This window comes from Homo sapiens, chromosome 9 (genome assembly GCF_000001405.40).
Source record: "Homo sapiens chromosome 9, GRCh38.p14 Primary Assembly".
In the NCBI taxonomy this organism is placed as follows: Eukaryota; Metazoa; Chordata; class Mammalia; order Primates; family Hominidae; genus Homo; species Homo sapiens.
The window spans coordinates 95987703-96009883 of NC_000009.12; the positions used below are offsets into that span (position 1 = coordinate 95987703).

Below are 22181 nucleotides of genomic sequence, written 5' to 3' on the forward strand. Positions count from 1 at the left end.
GGGCCTGGAGTATGGTGGCCCTCTTCTCACACCTCCACTAGGCAGTGCCCTATTGGGAACTCTGTGTGGGGACTCTGACCCCACATTTCCCTTCTGCACTGCCCTAGCAGAGAGGTTCTCCATGAGGGCCCCACCCCTGCAGCAAACGTCTGCCTGGACATCCAAGGGTTTCCATCCATCCTTTAAAATCTAGGTGATGGTTCCCAAACCTCAGTTCTTGACTTCTGTGCACCCATAGGCTCAACACCACGTGGAAGCTGCCAAGGCTTGGGGCTTGCCCTCTCTGAAGCCATGGCCCAAGCTGTACCTTGGACCCTTTTAGCCATGGCTAGAGCGGCTAGGACACAGGAGACCAAGCCTCTACCATTTTTCTACGAAACCATTTTTTCTTCCTGGGCCTCAGGGCCTGTGATGGGAGGGGCTGCCGCAAAGGTCTCTGACATACCCTGGAGACATTTTCCTTCTCAAAGAGATTCTATAAATGAAAATGTGAATAATTATTCTAATTTGTTGGTATGAGCATAACTCTTTTGTGGTGAGTTGGCATTAGATAAGACAAATACGTCTGAACTGGAATTTGTGATATTTTGCAAATTATCTGATGAAGATAATACCCCTTTAGTATAACTAGGATCTGTTCTCACCGCTTTTACAGCAAGATGGTAAGTTGATGTTTTATTTTGGAGACGTCAGTCATCTTGTTAGCTGCATTACTTAGTATCGGAGTCAAATTTCAGTTAATCTATAAACAAGTCTCATGACTAACATTACCTGCTTCAAAATGGATTGGAAAGCCGTATCCCACTATTTCATTTGCTATGTAAGGCTATTTTGTTGCAGATGAAATAATTGAATGCCTTAACAGCAAGAACTTTTTATCTTGTTCAAAAAACTTTTTTGGCAAATATCCTCCAGAAATTTAATTTTCTTTGTTGTTGAGTGGGAAAAAAAATCACCCTGTTTTTCCTCTGCTCTCACCCCACAACAGTCAACACAGAAGACTTCTGTGACCAACTGTGTGGGGGATTTTCCCTTACACCAGCAAGCAGTCAATTCTGTAGCAGATGCCTGGGTATCCTCCGATTCAATTCCAATACTATCTGCCTGGATACAGTATCAGATCCAACAGGTTGAACACTCAGTCCCACAAGACTACCTACAGCTTGTCAGTCACAAGACCCAGTTTGTTTTACCTGTGCTTCTAACCAACCAGCTATAAATCAGGGTTCCCACAACCCCCTCCTGGGGCTTGTTTAATTTGCCAGAGCAGCTCACAGAACTCAAGGAAATACTTAGGGTTACCATTTTATTAGGATAGAGATGAAGAGCTGCGCAGGGTAAGGTATGGGGGAAGAGGTGCAGAGCTTCCACACTCAGTCCTGAGTGCTGTGCCCTCTGGGAATGTCCACCTTCTCAGCTATCCAGATGCTCTCAGAATCCAGTACTTTGGGTTTTTATGGAGGCTTCATTACATAGGTATTGAATCAATCATACCTATGTAATTAATGGTTATGATGGTTAAGCCATTGGTGATCAGCTTAACCATCAGCCCCTGTTCCCTCCCTGAAAGTTGGGGGGTGGAGCTGACAGTCCCAACCCTCTGACCCTGCCTTGGTCTTTCAGGTGACCAGCCCCATCCTGAAGCTCCTAGGGGGCTGCCAGCCACCAGCCAATTCATTAGCATAGAAAAGCACATCACTTTATTTCAAGGATTTTAGGGGTTGTATGCCAGGAAGCTGGGACAAAGACCAAATATCTATTTCACAATATCACAGTCATATTTGTGTAAGTTTATATTCATACAGCAAGCATTTATTGAGAGCCTATCGGGCATGAGTCAGGACTTAGTGCAATAAAAATACATGGTTGCTCTCTGGATTAGAGAAGTGTGATCTAGTTAAAAAGTTAAATAGACCTAAACAATCAAAGTAATTTCAAATAGTACAGGGGGCCCTACCTGTTCAAAGAGAACCTCTAGTTTCATTATATTTCTTTTATGGATGAAATTAGGATCTTTGGCCTATGTGCAGCATTATTGGATGCTTGGTTTGGTATGTTGTATGAGATGACATAAAATCTTAAATCAAGGTGCATACCATTTTATAATAAAGCTGCCAAATGAGAAATCAACATAATAATGCAAGAAAAGAGTATGCAAGGGAAGTCTTGTAAAGCTGTACCTTTGAGTACAGGTAGGACAGTGTTGGGCAAGAAGCCGGGTTCTGAGGAAATCTGGAGCCAGAAATGTGACAATGTGTTTGGCAGCTAGTGAGAAGACCGGACTGACCAGGCAGACTTACATTGGACAACAGAGAGCAGTAAGGCACATAGGGGGTTAAGAACAAGTCATGAAGGGCCTTTCATTTAGGGCAATAATCAATAAATGTTAAACTGACCTGAACAGACTGAGATGTTAGGCTTTATACTCTGACAGGTGCCAAATACCTAACCATTCCACAGTGAAGAAGGCCAGGAGCCAGGCTGGAGCAGGTTGATGTAATGATTATTCTAGACAGAAAGACTATTATATTTGCACTCAACAGGTGGGGGACCATTTCATGTGTGTGGACATAAATCTGGGTGAAGCCCACTCTTGATTATCATGGTCAAATTTGCCAACATGAAGGTATCAAGTATGTGTTGAATGAAGACATTCCAGTTTATTAGAGACTGGCAGTTCTCAAAGTGTGGTCCATGGACCCTAAGATAGCCCCAAGACTCGGAGGGGGGGTCCATCTTTTCACTTGTTGACATTTACGATTCAAAAGCCATGTTGGGGAGCCTGCTGGCAGATTACCATGAACAGGCAGTGGCCCTTAATTGTAGTAGTGAGACAGGATAGCTCCCTTGACCCCCTTCGCGGGCAGGAACTGGAGTGGCTCGTTTCAGCCCGCTGCTGGCCACTGCTCATAGGAGAGAGTGTACAAGCGAGCAAGCAAGTATAGGAACAGGAGCGAACAAACGCTGCAACCAGCCAGTCACTCCTCTCTGGTGGGAGCAGGCTCTGTGAGGGCCCTGCAGCAGTGTCCAAGTGTGTTACAACCAATGCACTTCAAGCTCTCCCATCCGGGGACAGCCAAGTGCCAGCCAGCTGAGTGGAGGGTCAGAGTGGCAGCCCCTGCCCTCTTGGCACGTGGGTTCTTGTCTGGTGTCCAGGAAGAATCAGGTCATATGAACTGTTTGAAAGGTGATGCATGTGGAAGACTTTATTGAGCGGTGGGCGGCTCTCAGCAGAAAGGGAGGCTGGAAAGGGGATGGGAAGGTGATCTTTCCCTGAAGCCTGGCCATCTCCAGCCAGGCCCCTCTCCAAGCTTCACTGTCTGAAGTTAGCTGCATCTGTCCATAGGCTCCGATGCTCAGTTGCTTCTCTGCTTGCCGCTCAGCTGCTTGTGTTGCTCTGCCAGCTAAGTCTTTTATGGGCCCAGGATGGGGGTAAGGGGCAAGCCAGAAAGGCAACGTTTGGGTGGAAAAACGGGGTCAGCTGTTTCCACGTAGGACCACAGATCTAGGCTGAGCTTAAGGGTGGGGTTTAGATGGGAGCCCAGCTCTTCTATATCACTAGTAGTTAATGGATTCTTTACCACCACATTCTTGCAGGAAAAAGAAACTGCTTTCTGTTACGAATATCTTTGAGGAAGCAGCAAAATTAATTTTAGCAAATCTCAACCCTTTACTGCCCATCTTTTTTATGTTCTGTATGGTGAAATGGGAAGTTTGCATAAAGCACTTGTATAATTGTTTGAGTTGCAAATTGAACTAGCCTCTTTTTTATAGAACACCATTTGTACTTGAAAGAATGACTGATAGACAGACTGGTTATTCAGACTTGGGTATTTGGCACTTCCCCAAAAAAATGAACCTAGTGAGCATGTCACTTCAAAGAAAACAATGGATAGTGCTTGTTGCCAGTGATAAAATTCAAGCTTTCAAGTGAAAGTTAAAATACTGAAAAGCTTGTATCTACCACCATAGCATTGACACCTTCCCAATACGTATTTTTCTGATAATGACAAAAGTGATATTTGTAACGTGGTATAATTAAATGTGTCCGTGTTTTGAAGATCTGTATAACTCTATTAATAAGTATTTTCTAAATGACCAGTGAATGATATTAAAAATCACACATGGGGAAAAGATTTACCCAAAGTTCAAGATACACCAATGAATTTTAACAATATAAAAATTTTACTGAAAGGTTTCAGATTTTTAATGAAATTAACCTTGAGTTTTGGTATAGTGTCAAAGAAAATCCATAATTATCTCCAAATCTGAAAATATCTATTAAAATATTTTTCCCTTTTCTAACTACATATCTGTATGAGACCAATTTTCTTCATAAGCTTCAACCAAAACAATGTGTCACAACAGATTGAATGTAGAAACAGAAGAATTCAGCTGACTTTTATTAAGCCAAATATTAAAGACATTTGTAAAAATGTAAAACATAGCCACGCTTCTCACTAACTTTTTGGTTTTTTGCTTTGGAAAATATAGTTACTTTTGTTTTAAAAAGTTCCTTATGTTAACATGTAATGGGCTTTTGTTATTTTAATTAGGTGATAAAGACTTTAAATTTTCAGTAGATATAACCCACACAAACAAAAACTCCTTGAGATTCTCAATAATTTTTGAAGTATAAAGGGGTTCTAAGACCAAAAAGCTTCAGAACTGCTGTCTTAGACCCATATGAAAACAGTTGCCTTATCATTAAATTCACTTCTAGCAGGATATGCTTCCATTTGGTCTTTCTCTGTGTGAAAATGTTACTTTCTCTAATGCATAACCAAAGAAAGCATGTCAGAATAGAAGAGAGTAAAGATGATGTGATTATAGGGAATTAACTCTAATTTACTAAAAAAGCTGAATCTTTCACATACTTTAGCACTTTATTATTAATAATAAATAATTACATCAAATCTCACAACTAGTTGTAATGTCTCAGTGTCATTTGTGGTACGTGCTTGAAATCTTCTTCCCCAGACACTGGAGAGCCATTTGGTTGCCTTCTAATCAAATCAGCCTAAGTGGCCCAGCTGGAGGCCAGGGTGGAGGGACATGAGGAGCCTAAGCTAGCCACTGGAAAACACAGGCAGCAGTGGGTGCCTGCCAAGAAAGGCTTTCTATGGTTAATTTTTTTTCACCAGCACCATTCTTCTGTGATCTTTGTTGCCAGTGATACGACATATAACAGGTATTATTTCATATGAGGTCACATATAACAAGTATTATTTCATATGAGATCTTCAGGTAGTCTTTATAGAAAATATAGTAATACAAATAAAACTTAGTACATACAGAGATTTGAAATTGAGGTCAAGGCTACAAGATGTGATGGACCTATCTATTAGTACTTACTGGAGATCCTATAAAGACTAGTAGAATTGTGAATTTTAAATACGAAAGAGACTGGTAGGAGTCCCAGATCCAAATCTCCCTTCTCCTAGATCCCAGTCTCCAAATCTTTCATTATCCCCAAGATGATCCTCAGAAAGGTACAGAATCTCCCCAAATGGAAAGAGTAAGTGGCAAAGTAGGGCCTGGATGCCAGGGCTATGGTGCTGAGTCCAGTGCTCAGACTGCTATCTGGAAAGGCTTCTATCCTGCTCTAGCCTTTGTAGGAGGAATTAAAGGGAATTTACTCCTGGGCTGTACTCTCATGGTGAACTGAGGGTATTAGCGAAATTTTCCATTGCACATCTGCAAGCTTTGGTGAAGGTAATTGCTATGGTCTCGCTTGGCCCTTTCCCACAGAGCCAGCAGGTCAGCAGACCCCAGGGAGATGGAGTTCCTGTGTTTCTGTCTGTAGCACATGGCATTCACCTGCTCCCCCCAATGCTGCCACTTCGCATCATTTCAGATAGATGGGTTTCTTGAACAATGAGTCACCCCTATAAGTGATGCTGAATTTCCACAAGCAGCTTCTATCAGATTTAGTTTGATATGTGTTTATTTGAAGAGATACTTCCATTATTCTTGAAATAAAAGCAGGCTCAGGACAGCCAATATAAAGTTGTCCTTATGTGGCTCACTCAGAAAGCAAAGCACTATTGAAAAAAGAGTTTAGCTGGATAATATAGTATTACTCCTTCCAGGAAGAAAGCAGACCCATGGTTAAAAACTTTCATCTCCCTCTCTCCCCAGAAAAGGTTTTGGATTTGAATCTAAATGCTGTTGTTTTTTTCAGATTTGAACATCATTTTTAAACATAGGCAGAAAATTTGACTCTATGTATATTTGTGGTGGATCCTCTGACCAGCTGGCTTTTCTGCAGATAGTGAGTTAAGACAATTCAGGGATAGCTCATAGTTGCCTTAGGTTCTTGTTGAGTATTGGAAAACTGCATTTACAGTAACATTTTCTATCTCCAGGCACAAACCTTGAATGATGTTGAGGATTTTCATACTTAAGCAAAAATCCCGAAATGTTTTGTTGTTTTGACTGCTTGATGGCAGAGTTGGCATGATCAGGTGGATATGAGGGCTTGTGGCCACATGGTGTGCCCACCTGTGATGACCTTAGAGTGTCTTGTGAAGCTCAGGAACAAGGTGTACAAAGAGCTATCCTGGGATGGGCAGATCCTTTTTGACCTTAGAATCAGAACTTTTAATTAAGCCTTCCACTCTAGCTTCTCAGTGGGTCAGAGCCATCAGGACCTTCCAGTGGCTTTGAAGATCTCCTCCTTGTTTCCAGTTTTCTCACTGACTTATCAGGCCTAATCATCTGGTTATGGAAGAGTTGGTGCAGCTGTTTAGCATGCACTGCTCTTTGTTCTGTTTGCTCCGTGAGGTATATTCTGGAGAAGCCAGCCCAGTAGATAGATCCATTCCACACTTGCTTAATAAAAGATTTCACTACTTCCTCGTGGCCTCCTGTGGACAACTGTCAGGCTGTTCTGCTTCCCTGTGCACCATCCTCCCAAGCCTTCTCTGCACCTTGGAGTATACAGATGAGCAGGGGAGAATGAATCAGATTATCTGCAGATTATCAGCTATAGCTGTGTCTCCAGGAATTCGCCCAAAGAGATTTAGAAAGATGCAGAGATTACTGATAATATTTCTCCTGCCGAAATGGGAACTAGAGGCTGTTCCTTGATTGCACTTGAAACTTGCTCTCCTGGATTGTAACTTTTTTGCCTCATTTGTTACAGTGTATGGGTGTGGGAACGATTCCTCCCTATCAGCTTTTTTCACTTCTTTGCTATTCCTACCTAGGTGCCCTCTACTGTTCTTTAGTAACTTACCTCCAAAATTACTTTTTGCTTGGAGAATATTAATAGAGGGTTTCTTATTTCATAAACATTCTCTGAACAATTCTAGTATAGCCTTCTACTATATAAAGATAGATTCCATATGTAGCTGAGTAAATAGAAAACTGCTAATTTAATCATGTGCCTGTGAGGTAGGGGGGAATCTTCCTTGTATTTTTAAGTATACTGACATCAAAGATAGCTATCTGCAAAGTTAAGAGTTGATTTTGTTTTTACTTACCCTTTCATATCAAAAATCTTAACTTTTTTCAGTTGAGCCTTTCAATAAATATCATTTCAATGAAAATAATGCAACTTGGTTTAGATCTAATGCCTTAAAATACACAGAATACACTTTTGGTTCAAAAGAAAAAGTATTATCAAAGTTCATTTGAATGTTTCATACTATCAATCTAAATGAAGATAAGGAACTTTTCTGCTGTTAACCAGTATAAACCTAAAACCTAAAAGTAAGAAGTAAGTTATAGAGAATTATGGATAGTTAGTAGATCTAGGGTGGACTCATTCTGTCTACTCTGGAAGAAGAAAGTTTTCCCTACAAAAGTACCTTCTTGGTTATTGTAATCATAATACATAGGCATTCCTTGTTTTAGTGTACTTCATTTGATTGCACTTTGTAGATAATGCCTTTTTTACAAATTGAAGTTTTGTGGCCACCCTGCTTCACACAAGGCTATTGGCATCATTTTTCCAACAATATGTGCTCACTTTGTGTCTCTGAGTCACATTTTGGTAATTCTCACAATATTTTGAAGTTTTTCGTTATTATTATATCTGTTAAGGTGATCCACAGATCACATGCATGATCTTTGATGTTCCTGTTGTAACTGTTGGGCACCAACTGCACACATTCAAGATGGCAAACTTAATAAATGTGTGTGTTCCGACTGCTCTACAACCAGCCATTTTCCCTCTATCCCTCTCCTTAGACCTCCCCATTCCCTGAAATGCAACAGTATTGAAGTTAGGCCAATTAATAATCCTACAATGGCCTTTAATTGTTCAACTTTAAAGGAAGAGTCTCACATCTCTCACATCAAAAGCTAGAAATGATGACGCTTCATTAGAAAGGCATGTCAAAAGCCAAAATAGGCTGAAAACTAGGCACCTGTGCCTAACAGCCAAGTTGTGAATGCAAAGGAAAGTTCTGGAAGGAGATTAAAAGTGCTACTTCAGTGAACACACAAACAATAAGAAAGTGAAACAGCCTTATCTCTGACATGGAGAAAGTTGTAGTGGTCTGGATCAAAGATCAAACCAGCCATAATATTCCCTTAAGCCTAGGCAAGGCTCTAATGCACTTCAATTCTGTGAAAGCTGAGAGAGGTGAGAAAGCTGTAGAAGAAAAAATTTGAAGCTAACAGAAGTTCATGACATTTAAGCTAAGAAGCTGTCTCCATAGCAGCAGCAAGTGCTGATGTAGAAGCTGCAGCAAGTTATCCAGAAGACCTAGCTAAGATCACTGATGAAGGTGGCTACACTAAACAATAGATTTTCAATGAAGACAAAACAGCCTTCTGTTGGAAGATGTTACCTAGGATTTTCATAGCTAGAGGGGAGAAGTCAATGCCTGGCTTCAAAGGACAGGCTGACGCTCTTGTTAGGGACTAGTGCAGCTGGGGACTTTAAGTAGAAGCCAGTGATAATTTACCATTTGGAAAATCCTAGGGCCCTTAAGGATTATGCCAAATCTATTCCACTTGTGCTCCATAAATGAACCAACAAAGCCTGGATGACAGCCCATCTGTTTATGGCATGGCTTACTGAATATTTCATGCCCACTATTGAGACATGCTACTCAGAAAAGAAGATTCCTTTCAAAATATTGCTGCTAATTGACAGTGCATCTAGTCACCCAAGAGAGAGATGGAAATGTACAAGGAAATGAATGTTGTTTTCATGTCTACTAACACGGCATTTATTCTGCAGCCCGTAGATCAAGGAGTAATTTTGGCTTTCAAGTCTTATTTAAGAAATACAGAGCCGGGCACAGTGGCACATGCCTGTAGTTCTAGCTACTCAGGAGGCTGACCTGGGAGAATCACTTGAAACCAGGAGTTCAAGGCCAGCCTGGTCCACTTGGTGAGACTCCATCTCTAAAAATTAAATTTGAAAAGAAAATAAGTTTCATAAGACTGTAACTGGCATCAATAATGATTTCTCTGGTGGACTTGGGCAAAGTCAGTTGTTAACCTTCTGGAAAGGAGTCACCATTTTAGATATCATTGAAAACATCTTTGATTCATGGGAGCATTTCAAAATATCTACATTAACAGAAGTTTGGAAGAAGTTGATTCCAGCCCTCATGGATGACTTTGAGAGATTCAAGACTTTAGTGGGGGAACTAACTGTAGATGTGGTGGAAGCAGCAAGAGAACTAGAATTAGAAATGGAGCCTGAAGATGGGACTGAACTGCTGCAATCTCATGATAAAACTTTAACAGGTAAGGAATTGCTTCTTATGGATTAGCAAAGAGCGATTTCTTAAGATGGACTCTATCCTAGTGAAGATGCTGTGAACATTGTTGAAATAGCAACAAAGAATTTAGAATGTTACATAAACTTAGTTGATAAAGCAGTGGCATAATGTATGCACACCTAATAGACTACAATATAGTGTAAGCATAACTTTTATATGTACTGACAAACCAAAAAATTTGTGGTGGTGGTCCAGGACCAAATCTGCAGTATATCAGAGGTATGCTTGTATTATCTTTTAAATTCCTATTCCAAATCATTTTACTGAATCTTTTATTACTTGAATCTTCATTACTATTGCTGTTTCATCGTGTTGCCACAGTGTCATGACTTCACAGCTTTGATATAATTGGTAATGAACAAGTTTGAGTTAAGTTCACGTAATCTAGAATCTTTTCATCCTAGCCTTGTATGTTGTTTTATAATAAGTTATAATTGTCACTACAATAGCAACTGCAATGCAGCATTATTTATCTTGTACCATTTATTGTGAAAGATTTACTATTTTAGTGAAACCAACTTTTCTAACGAGCACCAAAATGTTTATAAAGTAGATATTGTTTTTCAAAAGACAAGAATATTCGAAAAGTATACCAATGGTGCTGCTGCTTAAAACAGCGGTTTTTCAACTCTTTCTGGCCATATACACCTTTTCTGGCCATATACACCTTTAAGAACATGATTAAAGCCATGGGCTCTTTTTTTTTGAAAAACGTGTTCATGCTCAAATGTGCAAATACAGCTTCAGGAGATTCATAGATATCCCTTTCTGAAGTCCCTGAAACCCATCTACAGAACCTTTGGAGGGTCGGTGGACCCAGGTTAAGACCCCCACTCTCCCTGCCAGTGGAAAACAATTAATGCCCCCCTCAAAGATGTCTGTTAACTCATTTCTGGAACCTATGAATACATTACATTACCCAGCAAACAGGAAAAGGAATTAAGGTTGTAGATGCAATTAAGGTTGAATCAGCTGACCTTGAGATGGGTCAATTGGATGTATGCAGTTAAGGATGTTAATTAACCCACTTTGCTCGTGGATTATCTGGATAGGCCCAATCTAATCACATTAGTTATTAAAAGCAGAGCGCCTTTCCTGGCTGTGGTGAGAGGGTGATGTGACTGTGCAGAACAGTTAGAGAAGAAGGGTTGCTAGCTTTGGAAGGGGACCACAAGACAAGGATTGTGGGCAGCCTCCAGGAGCTGGAAAAGCAAAGAAATTCATTATCCCAGAGCCTTCAAAAAGGAATGCAGCCCTGCCAACATCTTGACTTTAGCTTAGTGAGACCCATGTCAAGCTTCTGACCTACAGAAGTATAAGATAATGAATTTATGTTGTTTTAAGTCACTCGTTTTGTGATACTCTGTTATGGCAGCAATAGGAAACTAATCCAGTACACTGCCCCCAACCCATACATAGTTTATACATGTAACCTTTAGAGCTTTCATTCAGAATAAGCCTAAATGGCACATTGATTCCTAAAATTTATTTTTAATATAACTATTTTGTTTCACAGCCTTGTTTCAGTAAAGTATTAAAGTTCCCTGCTAAAATGGAAATATGAAACTAGATAGATTTTTAAAAATAAAAGATAGCTATTGAGCCCATGTTAAATAAGAATGATTTTCCTGGCCGGGCGTGGTGGCTCACTCCTGTAATCCCAGCACTTTGGGAGGTCGAGGCAGGCAGATCACGAAGTCAGGAGATCTAGACCATCCTGGCTAACAGGGTGAAACCCCCTCTCTACTAAAAATACAAAAAAATTAGCCAGGCGTGGTGGTGGGCGCCTGTAGTCCCAGCTACTCAGGAGGCTGAGGCAGGAGAATGGCGTGAACCCAGGAGGCGGAGCTTGCAGTGAGCCGAGATCACGCCGCTGCACTCCAGCCTGGGCGAGAGAGTGAGACTCTGTCTCAAAAAAAAAAAAATTTCCTTTTATTATTGCCTGAAAGAATCAGATTTTTAAATGTGGAATGTTTGGCAAAAATTAAAGATCCACGTGTCTAATAGCTATGGTTGCAAAAGCTGAATTTTCCTAAAGAAGTTATAAAACCAATTTAAGAAAAATGTATCTGTATACATGTGAGCTTTGCAGTGCTGCCAGGGTCATTGCAAGACCCAGAGTAAACACGTAAATAATTGACAATTGCCATTGCTTGGCATGATTTCTCTATGGCTTCAGAAATTGCAAAATATGAGGATGGTATTTTCTTTATTGGCCCAGTTCCTTCTCTTTCTGTTTACTCCCTTTACCTTCATGTAATAAGCAATACCATCTCATCTCATAGTAACGAATGATTATTTTCTTGGGGGTATAATCTAGGATGATGAGTCTTTGTATTAGGAACTTCTGGTGTTCATTTTGTTTTGTGATAGTAAATAAATGCATCAAATCTTTTTCAAACTTTAAAGATTAACATTTTTCTTTCTATTAATGTTTTAAGATACAATTTTTTTTTTTTTTGAGACAGTCTCACTCCATTGCCAGGCTGGAGTGCAGTGACGTGATCTCAGCTCACTGCAACCTCCGACTCCCTGGTTCAAGTGATTCTCTTGTCTCAGCCTCCCGAGTAGCTGGGATTACAGGCACATACCACCACACCCAGCCAATTTTTTTATTTTTAGTAGAGATGAGGTTTCACCATGTTGGCCAGGATGGTCTCGATCTCCTGACCTCGTGATCCGCCCACCTCGGCCTCCCAAAGTGCTGGGATTACAGGTGTGAGCCACCGCGCCTGGCCAAGATACAATTTTTTAAAATATATTTTTAAGGAAAGTACTTTTAACATTACTGATATAAAGCCCTGGTTCAACCTGACCACCTGGCATTTTGTGTTTGTCCATCTGAACCACAGTAGCTTTTGAACATGTCAGTTTTCCTTAGAAATCGTTTGTTACTAAAGAACATACTCTTGCTTTTGTCAGTTTCAATAAAATGAACCAGAATATAAGTTATAGAGGTAAATGTCTTATACAAAAAAGAAAAAAGATAAACATCATATTTTTAAAAATGGCTTGTCACTTTTAAATCCCTTAAGGGTAGGGGAATATTTGTATATATAAATATCTTTGCATCTCAAATGCATAACATGTTGGCAGGAACGTAATAGGTGCTTAGTAAATATTTGTGGAATTAAAAGTCATTCCTTGCCCACATTCATTGAATGTATCACCGCTTCAATCCCATTGAACTTCTATTAAAAAAAAGACCAGACACAGTGGCTCACTCCATAATCCCAACACTTTGGGAGGTTGAGGCAGGAGGATTGCTTTTGAGCCCAGGGTCTTGCAGCATTACCTATGCCAATCTGGGCGACATAGCAAGACCCCATGTCTATAAAATAATAGAAAAATTAGCTCGGCCTGTGGGCTCGTGCTTTGTATGTCTGAAAAGTTCTTACGTGATAGTGTGTCCGGAATTGGTGGGTTCTTGGTCTCACTGACTTCAAGAATGAAGCCGTGGACCCTCGCGGTGAGTGTTACAGCTCTTAAGGTGGTGTGTCTGGAGTCTGTCCCTTCTGATGTTCAGATGTGTTCGGAGTTTCTTCCTTCTGGTGGGTTCATGGTCTCGCTGGCTCAGGAGTGAAGCTGCAGACCTTCGCGGTGAGTGTTACAGCTCTTAAGGCAGCGCGTCTGGAGTTGTTCATTCCTCCCGGTGGGCTCGTGGTCTCGCTGGGCTCAGGAGTGAAGCTGCAGATCTTTGCGGTGAGTGTTACAGCTCATAAAAGCAGCGTGGACCCAAAGAGTGAGCAGTAGCAAGATTTATTGCAAAGAGCGAAAGAACAAATCTTCCACAGTGTGGAAGGGGACCCGAGCGGGTTGCCAATGCTGGCTCGGGCAGCCTGCTTTTATTCTCTTATCTGGCCCCACCCACATCCTGCTGATTGGTGGAGCCGAGTGGCCTGTTTTGTCAGGGCGCTGATTGGTGCATTTACAATCCCTGAGCTAGATACAAAGGTTCTCCACGTCCCCATCAGATTAGTTAGATACAGAGTTTCCTCACACAGGTTCTCCAAGGCCCCACCAGAGCAGCTAGCTACAGGGTGTCGATTGGTGCATTCACAAACCTTGAGCTAAACACAGGGTGCTGATTGGTGTATTTACAAACCTTGAGCTAGATACAGAGTGCCAATTGGTGTATTTACAATCCCTGAGCTAGATATAAAGACTCTCCACGTCCCCACCAGACTCAGGAGCCCAGCTGGCTTCACCCAGTGGATCCCGCACCGGGGCTGCAGGTGGAGCTGCCTGCCAGTCCTGCGCCGTGTGCTCGCATTCCTCAGCCCTTGGGTGGTTGATGGGACTGGGCGCCGTGGAGCAGGGGGTGGCGCTCGTCGGGGAGGCTTGGGCCGCACAGGAGCCCATGGAGTGGGTGGGAGGCTCAGGCATGGCGGGCTGCAGGTCCTGAGCCCTGCCCCGTGGGAAGGCAGCCAAGGCCCGGCGAGAAATCGAGCGTAGCACCAGTGGGCCAGCACTGCTGGGGGACTCAGTACACCCTCCGCAGCCACTGGCCCGGGTGCTAAGTCCCCCATTGCCGGGGACCAGCAGGGCTGGCTGGCTGCTCCGAGTGCGGGGCGCACCAAGCCCACGCCCACCTGGAACTCCAGCTGGCCCACAAGCGCCACACACAGCCCCGGTTCCCGCGCGTGCCTCTCCCTCCACACCTCCCTGCAAGCTGAGGGAGTGGGCTCCAGCCTTGGCCAGCCCAGAAAGGGGCTCCCACAGTGCAGTGGGGGACTGAAGGGCTCCTCAAATGCCACCAAAGTGGGAGCCCAGGCAGGGGAGGTGCCGAGAGCAAGCGGGGGCTCTGAAGACTGCCAGCACGCTGTCACCTCTCAATAGTTTAACTGGGTATAGAATTCTAGGTTGCCAGGGTTTTTTGTTTTGTTTTGTTTTTTTCTCTGCGTGTTGAAGATATCCCATTTTCTTTTGGTGGATAGGATTGTGATGTTAATGAGAAGACGGATGTTAGTTTGGCTTTTTTTTTTTTTCCTGAGACAAGATCTGGCCCTGTCACCCAGGCTGGAATGCAGTGGCACGATCTTGGCTCATTGCAACTTCTGCCTCCCGGGCTCAAGCCATCCTCCCACCTCAGCCTCCAGAGTAGCTGGGACTACAGGGGCACGCCACCGCACCAAGCTAGTTTTTGTATTTTTTTTTGTAGAGAAAAGGTTTTACCACATTGCCAGGCAAATGTGGTTGGTCTTGAAATCCTGGGCTAAAAGTAATCTGCCTACCTCAGCCTCCCAAAGTGCTGGGATTACAAGTGTGAGCCACTGTGCCTGGCCTAATTTGGCATTTCTTTGTAGGATGTCTTATCCTCTTTCTCTGGTAGTTTTTAAGGTTTGCCCTTTATCTGTGATATAACAAAATGCAGGTTTATTTTCATTTTTCCTACTAGGGATTCTTCCTCCTTTTTCAGTTTGAGGATTCCTTTCTTTTGCAGGTCTCTGGCATTATCTCTTCCATTTTCTCTATTCTGTCCTTTTAGCATTTTAGAAACTTTGATATGTCTTCTGTCTCTTAACTTCCCTATTTTTTTTAATCTCTGCACTTAATTCTGAGTAATTTTATCCTTCCAGTTTATCAACTGCAGTGAGCTGTGATCATGCCACTGCGCTCCAGCCTGGGTGACAAAGTGAGACTCTGCTATGTGTTTATTCATTCATAAATAAATATCTTTTTCAGATTGCTTTATTATAGGTAATTCCTCGGATTTCAGTTCTTATATTTGTTACATGTGCTCAATTTCATGATGGTAGGTTTTATATGCTCTTCATAATTTTTGTCTGAACTCCTTCTGTTTTCATTGGAATCAAAAGCATTCTCTGGCTTATGGCAGTCTTCCTATGGTATGTTTTTTATTCACCCCTCATTGAGATCTATGGTTTTCACTAGTTCTGGACAAATTATTTATGTTAATTTTCAGCTTAGAGTTCCCATACCACCACGTGGTACAAATCGCATTCCACACATGGCACTGGCTGGGCATTCGTGTTTGTCACCAGTGATTCTTTCTATCTAGAGTAAGAAAGTGGCCTACTTCTAGCCTGTGTGCCAGGTTTGGCTTTCCTGGCTTTAATTTGCAAATTTGACTCCTCATTCCTGTTTTGTGTTTCTTTGTTGTTTAATGCAGGGAGTTAAACCATTTCCATCTCCCATTTCCACATGGGTGCTATAGACTATAGCACCCACATGGTGCTATATTCCACATGGGTGCTGTAACTTAAGGTCCTACCCTACTAGGGCTGCTGAGCTTCAGCTCCCACTCACCACTGTGGGACTTCCTTGTTTGGGGCACCTAGACATTCTGCTTTCTTACTTTTGAGCTCCAGTGTAATTTTGTTGTTGTTATTGTTAAATTGTATTTAGTATTTCTCTTTTTGGAATAGGATGAGGACTTTCTACCTATTCATACTGTATCATCTTGTCAGGAAAACTGGGACTGTATAAAGTTTATTTTTCTTGCCTCACTGTCAGTAAAATTTATGTTAGGCAGGCAATTCATGGTCTCTGTAAAAGGAGTATGATTCCATCTATAATTCAGCCAACTGTAGTTAGCATCTCAAAATCACTAAATATTCTTGCAACCCAGCAGAGGTTGAAATGTAAGATTTATGATTTATTTATTTAATTATTACATAAAGATTGGTATTTTTTACATGTCTCCATTAATGAAATTAGACAACTGAAAGACTGCTTAATAATTTTGCAATTACTAAATTAGAAAATTTTAGATATCCCATGTTTATGCCATAGTGTATATAATCATTAATTTTTATCCTTCTTTGGTATAGTAGGTATCAACGTATGTATCAGTATGCCCAAGTCTTGACAATGGAAATAACGTATTATTGCCAATACTTGTATAACTTAAAGAAAGGTATAAAAATAATTTTTTCCCTGTGTCATCTTCTTAAAGACCTAGGTTAATATCTTCTGACATTGATTTCAGTTGGAGAATATGATTTACTTCATTATAAAGAGTATTGAGAAAAAGTAAGACATTCTCATTATTTGACCAACAATGACTATTTTTTCAGACATAGCTTTTGTTTCCTTTCTTTTTTTCAGACATATAAAGAAAAAGTGGATGCAGATACATTGCCACACACAAAGAAAGGCCAGCAACCGAGTGAAGGCAGCATTTCACTTCCTCTTTACATTTCAAATCCTGTAAACCAGAAGAAGAAAAAAGTCTACCATACAAACCAGACCACCTTCATAATTGGAGAAACACCAAAAGGAATCCGCAGGTATATTGTCTCTGACAATACTATACTTGAAGAATAATTCTCAAAGGAAATGTAGCTCATTAGTAAAATATGTAAATACTTGAATTATAACCATAACTGACATCTGAATATTTCAGAAAAATCTGAATTTCAAAAATAAACTGCAAATGTTTTAGATGTTGTTAGAAGGCTAATCCCTGAATTGATTACCATAAAAAGGGAAATCATGTTATACAAAGAAATGAAATACTTAAGTGCATTTTATTCATTCAGTCAATGAATATATTTTGAGCACCTAATATATGCCCAGGCATTGTGCTGAGTCTTGAATATGCAGTGTAAAAAAAGGACAGCAGGGTGCGGTGGCTCATGCTTGTAATCTCAGCACTTTGGGAGGCCGAGGCGGGTGGATCACGAGGTCAGGAGATTGAGACCATCCTGGCTAATACGGTGAAACCCCGTCTCTACTAAAAATGCAAAAAATTAGCCGGGCGTGGTGGCGGGCACCTGTAGTCCCAGCTACTCAGGAGGCTGAGGCAGGAGAATGGAGTGAACCTGGGAGGCGGAGCTTGCAGTGAGCCGAGATTGCGCCACTGCACTCCAACCTGGGCGACAGAGCGAGACTCTGTCTCAAAAAAAAAAGGACAGACATAGAGCCTCCAGTACAGAGGAATGGGTTTGGCATCAAACCATGAAGTTTTAAAAAGTAAACCTACAAATAATTATAAAATGATGTGTTATAAGAAAAAAGAGAAAGAGAATAATAGGATGGGGAGGGGACATGGAACCACCTTTCTTTTGGGAAGTCAGGGAAGACTGTCTACATGGGTAGCATTTAAGTTAAGAGCTGAAGGATAACCATGCAAAGAACCGGAGTAGGAGCATCTCCAAGGAGGGAAGAGGTTTGGTGTGGTCAAGGAGCTGGGAGAAGACTGGTGGCCTTAGTGCAGAATAAACCAAGCAGAGAGTAGCATGAGATGGAGGGTAGGGACGCAGGTGGGGCTGGAGCATGCCAACCCTTGGGGGCTACAGAAAGAGTTTGGATTTTGTTCCAAGTGCAGTGGAAAACTGTTGAAGAATGGCACGATCTGATGTATCTTTTTAAAAGATGGTTCCAGCTTCCCTGTAGAAGAGTGCAGAATGAACAAGGGGTAACAAGAAGGAACTCGGTGATGGGGGTTTGTACCAGAGTGGTTGCCATGAGGATAGAGCCAAGTAGATGAATTCAATTTGGTGATGGACTGGTTCGGGAAAGAAAGAGAACAAGATTACTTCTTTCTGTTTTGAGCAACAGAGTGGAGGTACTGAATGGGGAAAACCAGAGAGAAACAAGAGAGGAAAAAATTCAGGAGTTCCCTTTTGCACGTATTAAATGTGACATTCTGTGGGAAGGTTCAGTAGGCAATGTATGTATGAGCTACTCCTGGTTTGGGGATTAAAAGTTTAAATTTGGGAGTCATCAGCATAGAGTTTATAAATGGTCTTCAGAACTGTGAGACTATGTGAGCAGCCTAGAAATAGAGCACAGAGAGGAGGAAAGAAGTCCCAGGACACAGACTGGAGGCAGCAGCTACTTCTGGAGGAGGCATAAGAGGCACAGTATCAGGTCCTGAAGTGCAGGAGTAGCGAGAGGATCTTAAAAGGAGGGAGTTTGTCAAATACTGCTGAGAACCAGAAGCAGATGAGGTGGGAAACTGCCCACTGAAGACAGCAGCAGAGCACTCAGCAGGCACCTTGGCAGGAGCAGCCTGGGAAGCAGTGCTCAGGCCCTGGCGGGAGGTGGCCGGTGCTATGAGTTCGGATGGAAGCAGTGCGCGCGCCCTGGCGGGAGGTGGCTGGTGCTGTAAGTTTGAATGTAAAAAGTAGCAGCAGCTGGAGGGCATTGTGGGTCTTACAGTTGAGATAACAGAACCTGTTGTGTGTTGAGGGAAAAGACTTGTAGGAGAAAAAGAGATCATGTCAGAGAGGTGAAAACAGAAAGAGGGAGGGCCTGGAAGCAGTGGAGGGCAGTACCCAAACCACAGGCCACGCTCTGGCCTTTGAGAGGCATTGAAAGAGAAGGGACAAACACAGGCACAGATGTGACATTTTCTCAATGAGTTGAGAACTGAAGCCATAAGTTCAGAGGGAGAAAGATTTAGGGAGAGAGAAGTTAGGAAACAAATCATTTATAAAGTAGGAAAGCAAGCTTAATGGGACCAGAATTTCTGGGTGGTGTTAAGTTCCCATTTGAGAATAATTTCAGGAAAATCATCTGTCCAGTATGCACATTTTATTCAGCAAGCTTCAGTTGCTCTGTTGCAGAAACAAGTAGAAAGATGGCTGGGTCTGACCAGGGGTTAGAATGGAGGGAGAGAGAAGCAAGGAAGCTGAAGAATGTTTGTAAAGGAGTGATTATAAAGTTAAACCTAAGCTGGACAAGGGAGGCTGATGGATAGTGTAAAAGCACAAGAGTCAGTGAATTTGAGGACTTGAGGTTACCAGCATATCCCCCAGCATTGCTGTTGTGGGCAGTCATCAAGCAGCTGAGCTGGAGCCTTAGATGACTAAGTCAGGGACATGGAGGTTGAGCTGTTGATGGTAATGACAATGGCAATTTATAAACTTGGGAGTAGGGGCTAACATGGAGTTAAGATGAGTTTGGAGGTGAGCTAAAGAAAGTGGTGGGCCAGATATGGGTGGGACATCCACATGGATATTGATGTTATCAAGAATGATGGCAAGAGATGGGGTGGGAAGCAAGATTAATCCAGGATCTTGAGAGTTTAGCTGCTAGCAGGAAGCAATGAAGGGGTCACTGAAGATTGAGGAGAGAACAGTTTAGCTGGATGGCATAAATGTTAAAGAGGGGAAGGAGTTTTCTGAGAAAAGAATGGTCTGGAAGCAGCATTGTCTAGAAGCACTAACCCTGAGGTTGGAGAGCTGTGAGATGCAAGAGCCTTGCCTTGCAAGGGCCGCATGGGAAGAGGCAATATCAGCAGAGCACAGGACCATTCAGCATAGAAGCAGAAGACTCGGGGGACTCTTGGTTCCAGGGGCACGGAGGGATGGCTTGGAAGGGTGAGGGATTGGATTAGATCAAGATGTACAGTAGGAGGAGATGAGAGGCCAGTGGTAATGGATGACAGAAGTGAACAGGGATGGGAGGCATGGTTGGACTGGTCCTGCTGGCTTCTGGGGGCAGTGGGAAATGTCTCTGGGTTCAAAGTACTTCCTGCAGGGGTTTGGCGACTCCCAGGCAGCTGGTTCCTCAGCTGCCCAGGGAAGAGCTGGCCCCGCAGCTCTTTGGAGTGCTGGCGTGGCTGGTTGGAGTATGGCTCTCAGCTCTCTGCAGTTGCAGAGAAAGGTGACCACCTTCCACACTGCCACACAGTGTACCTACCCACAGAACAGATCGGCAACAAGGATTTTTGCAGAGTGTGCCTTTTCACTTTGGGCAAATATTTTGCCAGGAGACTGACCATATACCTTTTTTTCCCTAAGTTTGCATGCGTTCTCTGTTCTCGATCGCCTCCAAGAGCCATGTTGGGACACTGGTTTGTTCTGTTCTGGGCTTCAATGTCAGTGCAACTTTAATATCTTCCCTAGATATATTGTATGCTGCTTATAGTCCTTTTTCATCTTCTTTGCTCACCAGTGCCTTCTTAAAAGGTGGTTTTGAAGCTGCCTCTTCAACCTCATGATCAGTAAGTTTGGAGGGGGACTCCTTTGTTGACTGGTAGTCTCTGAGTGAATTATCTAGCTTTCTTTTCCATGTATTTGTGACCTTACAGAGATTAGGGAACTTTGCAGGTGTTAATTCTTTGTGCCCTCTGAGTCAGAAGACTAAGAAATGGAAGTTCTTCCCCATGTTTCTCAATGAGTCGTCCTTCAATGCTCATGAATTTCATTATGTCACAACCTGCACCAGGGAGCAGTGAGGCATGATTGAATCCTTCCTCAATGAAACTTCACATTATAACATATGAGGTCATTTCAGAAAAGGTTGTGATGAGCTTAAACTGACTTATGAAGGCACACCCAGTGACCCCAAGGTTAGGGTCGGTACCAAGTTGAAAGAGTAATCGTGTTATCTTGATGTCAAGACCCTTGCTAGCTAGTCATGCTGCGGCTTCGTTGAAGTCACATGCTGGGTTGAGTTTGACAGAGGTTGTGGTGCCTCCTGGCTTGACAGCTGAGAGTAGAGCACTGAATCTTTTGTTTATCTGCTGCATCAGGTTACAGCTGGGTTTGCACACAGCATTATAGATAAGCGAGAAAGCAGCCTTCACAGCCTTGCACTTGGTGGTAACATTACCCATTTTTCCAGTCAGGTATGCACCATGGTGCTATTTTTATTTTGCCTTTCTCTCCAACAATTGATCTGTCCAGCCTGATGAAATCCTTCAGCTCCGGCACCAGATCAGATGTTGCAATCAGCATTGTGAAAGTGACTGATACAGCACCTGCTGTGGTCGGGGAGTTTGCTTTTGGAATGGACACAATGCTGTACAGCATGCTGCATACGCATCTTGAGCCGTGGGCAGAGCGATGACAGACTCGTCAGCTTCGTTGAGTTCTAGTGGCATGTTCAAGTGTTTCAATCACTATGTGCCTTATTGGCTTTGGTTACCAATTAGGGATGTAGAAGTAAAACTGTCCAACCATGTACATTTTACCACCCTCTTTTCCATTAACTGTCCTAGTCAATCAGAATCAAGACTGCACCTCCCTCTACTGCAGTCACATGATCATCTGAATGAAGTGTTCAGTCCTCCTCTCCTTCCGGAAGCTTAGGCAGACAGAAGATGAATTTAGGTGTGTTCCACCTCCCTTCCTCCAGAAAGAGAGAGGATTTTGAATTGTATCCATGATACATAACTGCTTTTGATACACTTGCTGAAAGATACATATCTTTGGTTTCTTTTTTTCCCCCTTTCCCTAAGTGGGTTATGGAAGTCTACTCTAGTTAACTAACTTTTCTTCACAAACTGGCTGGCTTATGCCCCCTGTTTGTACCCTGCAGTTCCTTAAATTCTTAGAGAAAATTCTGAAGGCCCAGAATTAGGAAAGCCAGTTAAAAGGCAGAAATAAAGTGAATGATAATTATAGCTTATCCTGTAAGCAGCAACCATGTGGCATAGTGTACTTGCAGACTACTCAGATAAAATGAGGTTAGAAGCAGCTCTCCTCCCAGAGGTGACAGCTCACAGGGTCACGGGTG

General features: G+C 42.4%; 1 protein-coding gene across 8 annotated transcripts in view; it reads left to right on the forward strand.

Moving 5' to 3' along the window:
* ERCC6L2 (ERCC excision repair 6 like 2) overlaps positions 1-22181 on the forward strand; it is a 165402-nt gene that overhangs the window by 112012 nt on the left and 31209 nt on the right. For 7 of the 8 annotated variants that reach the window (NM_001375291.1, XM_047423357.1, NM_001375292.1 and 4 more), the window contains one exon: positions 16818-16999. In NM_001375291.1, the coding sequence (NP_001362220.1) occupies positions 16818-16999 (182 nt within the window). Of the gene's footprint in view, positions 1-9543; positions 9712-16817; positions 17000-22181 lie in introns of all 8 variants that reach the window. The other variant, NR_164677.1, reaches the window with a different exon arrangement.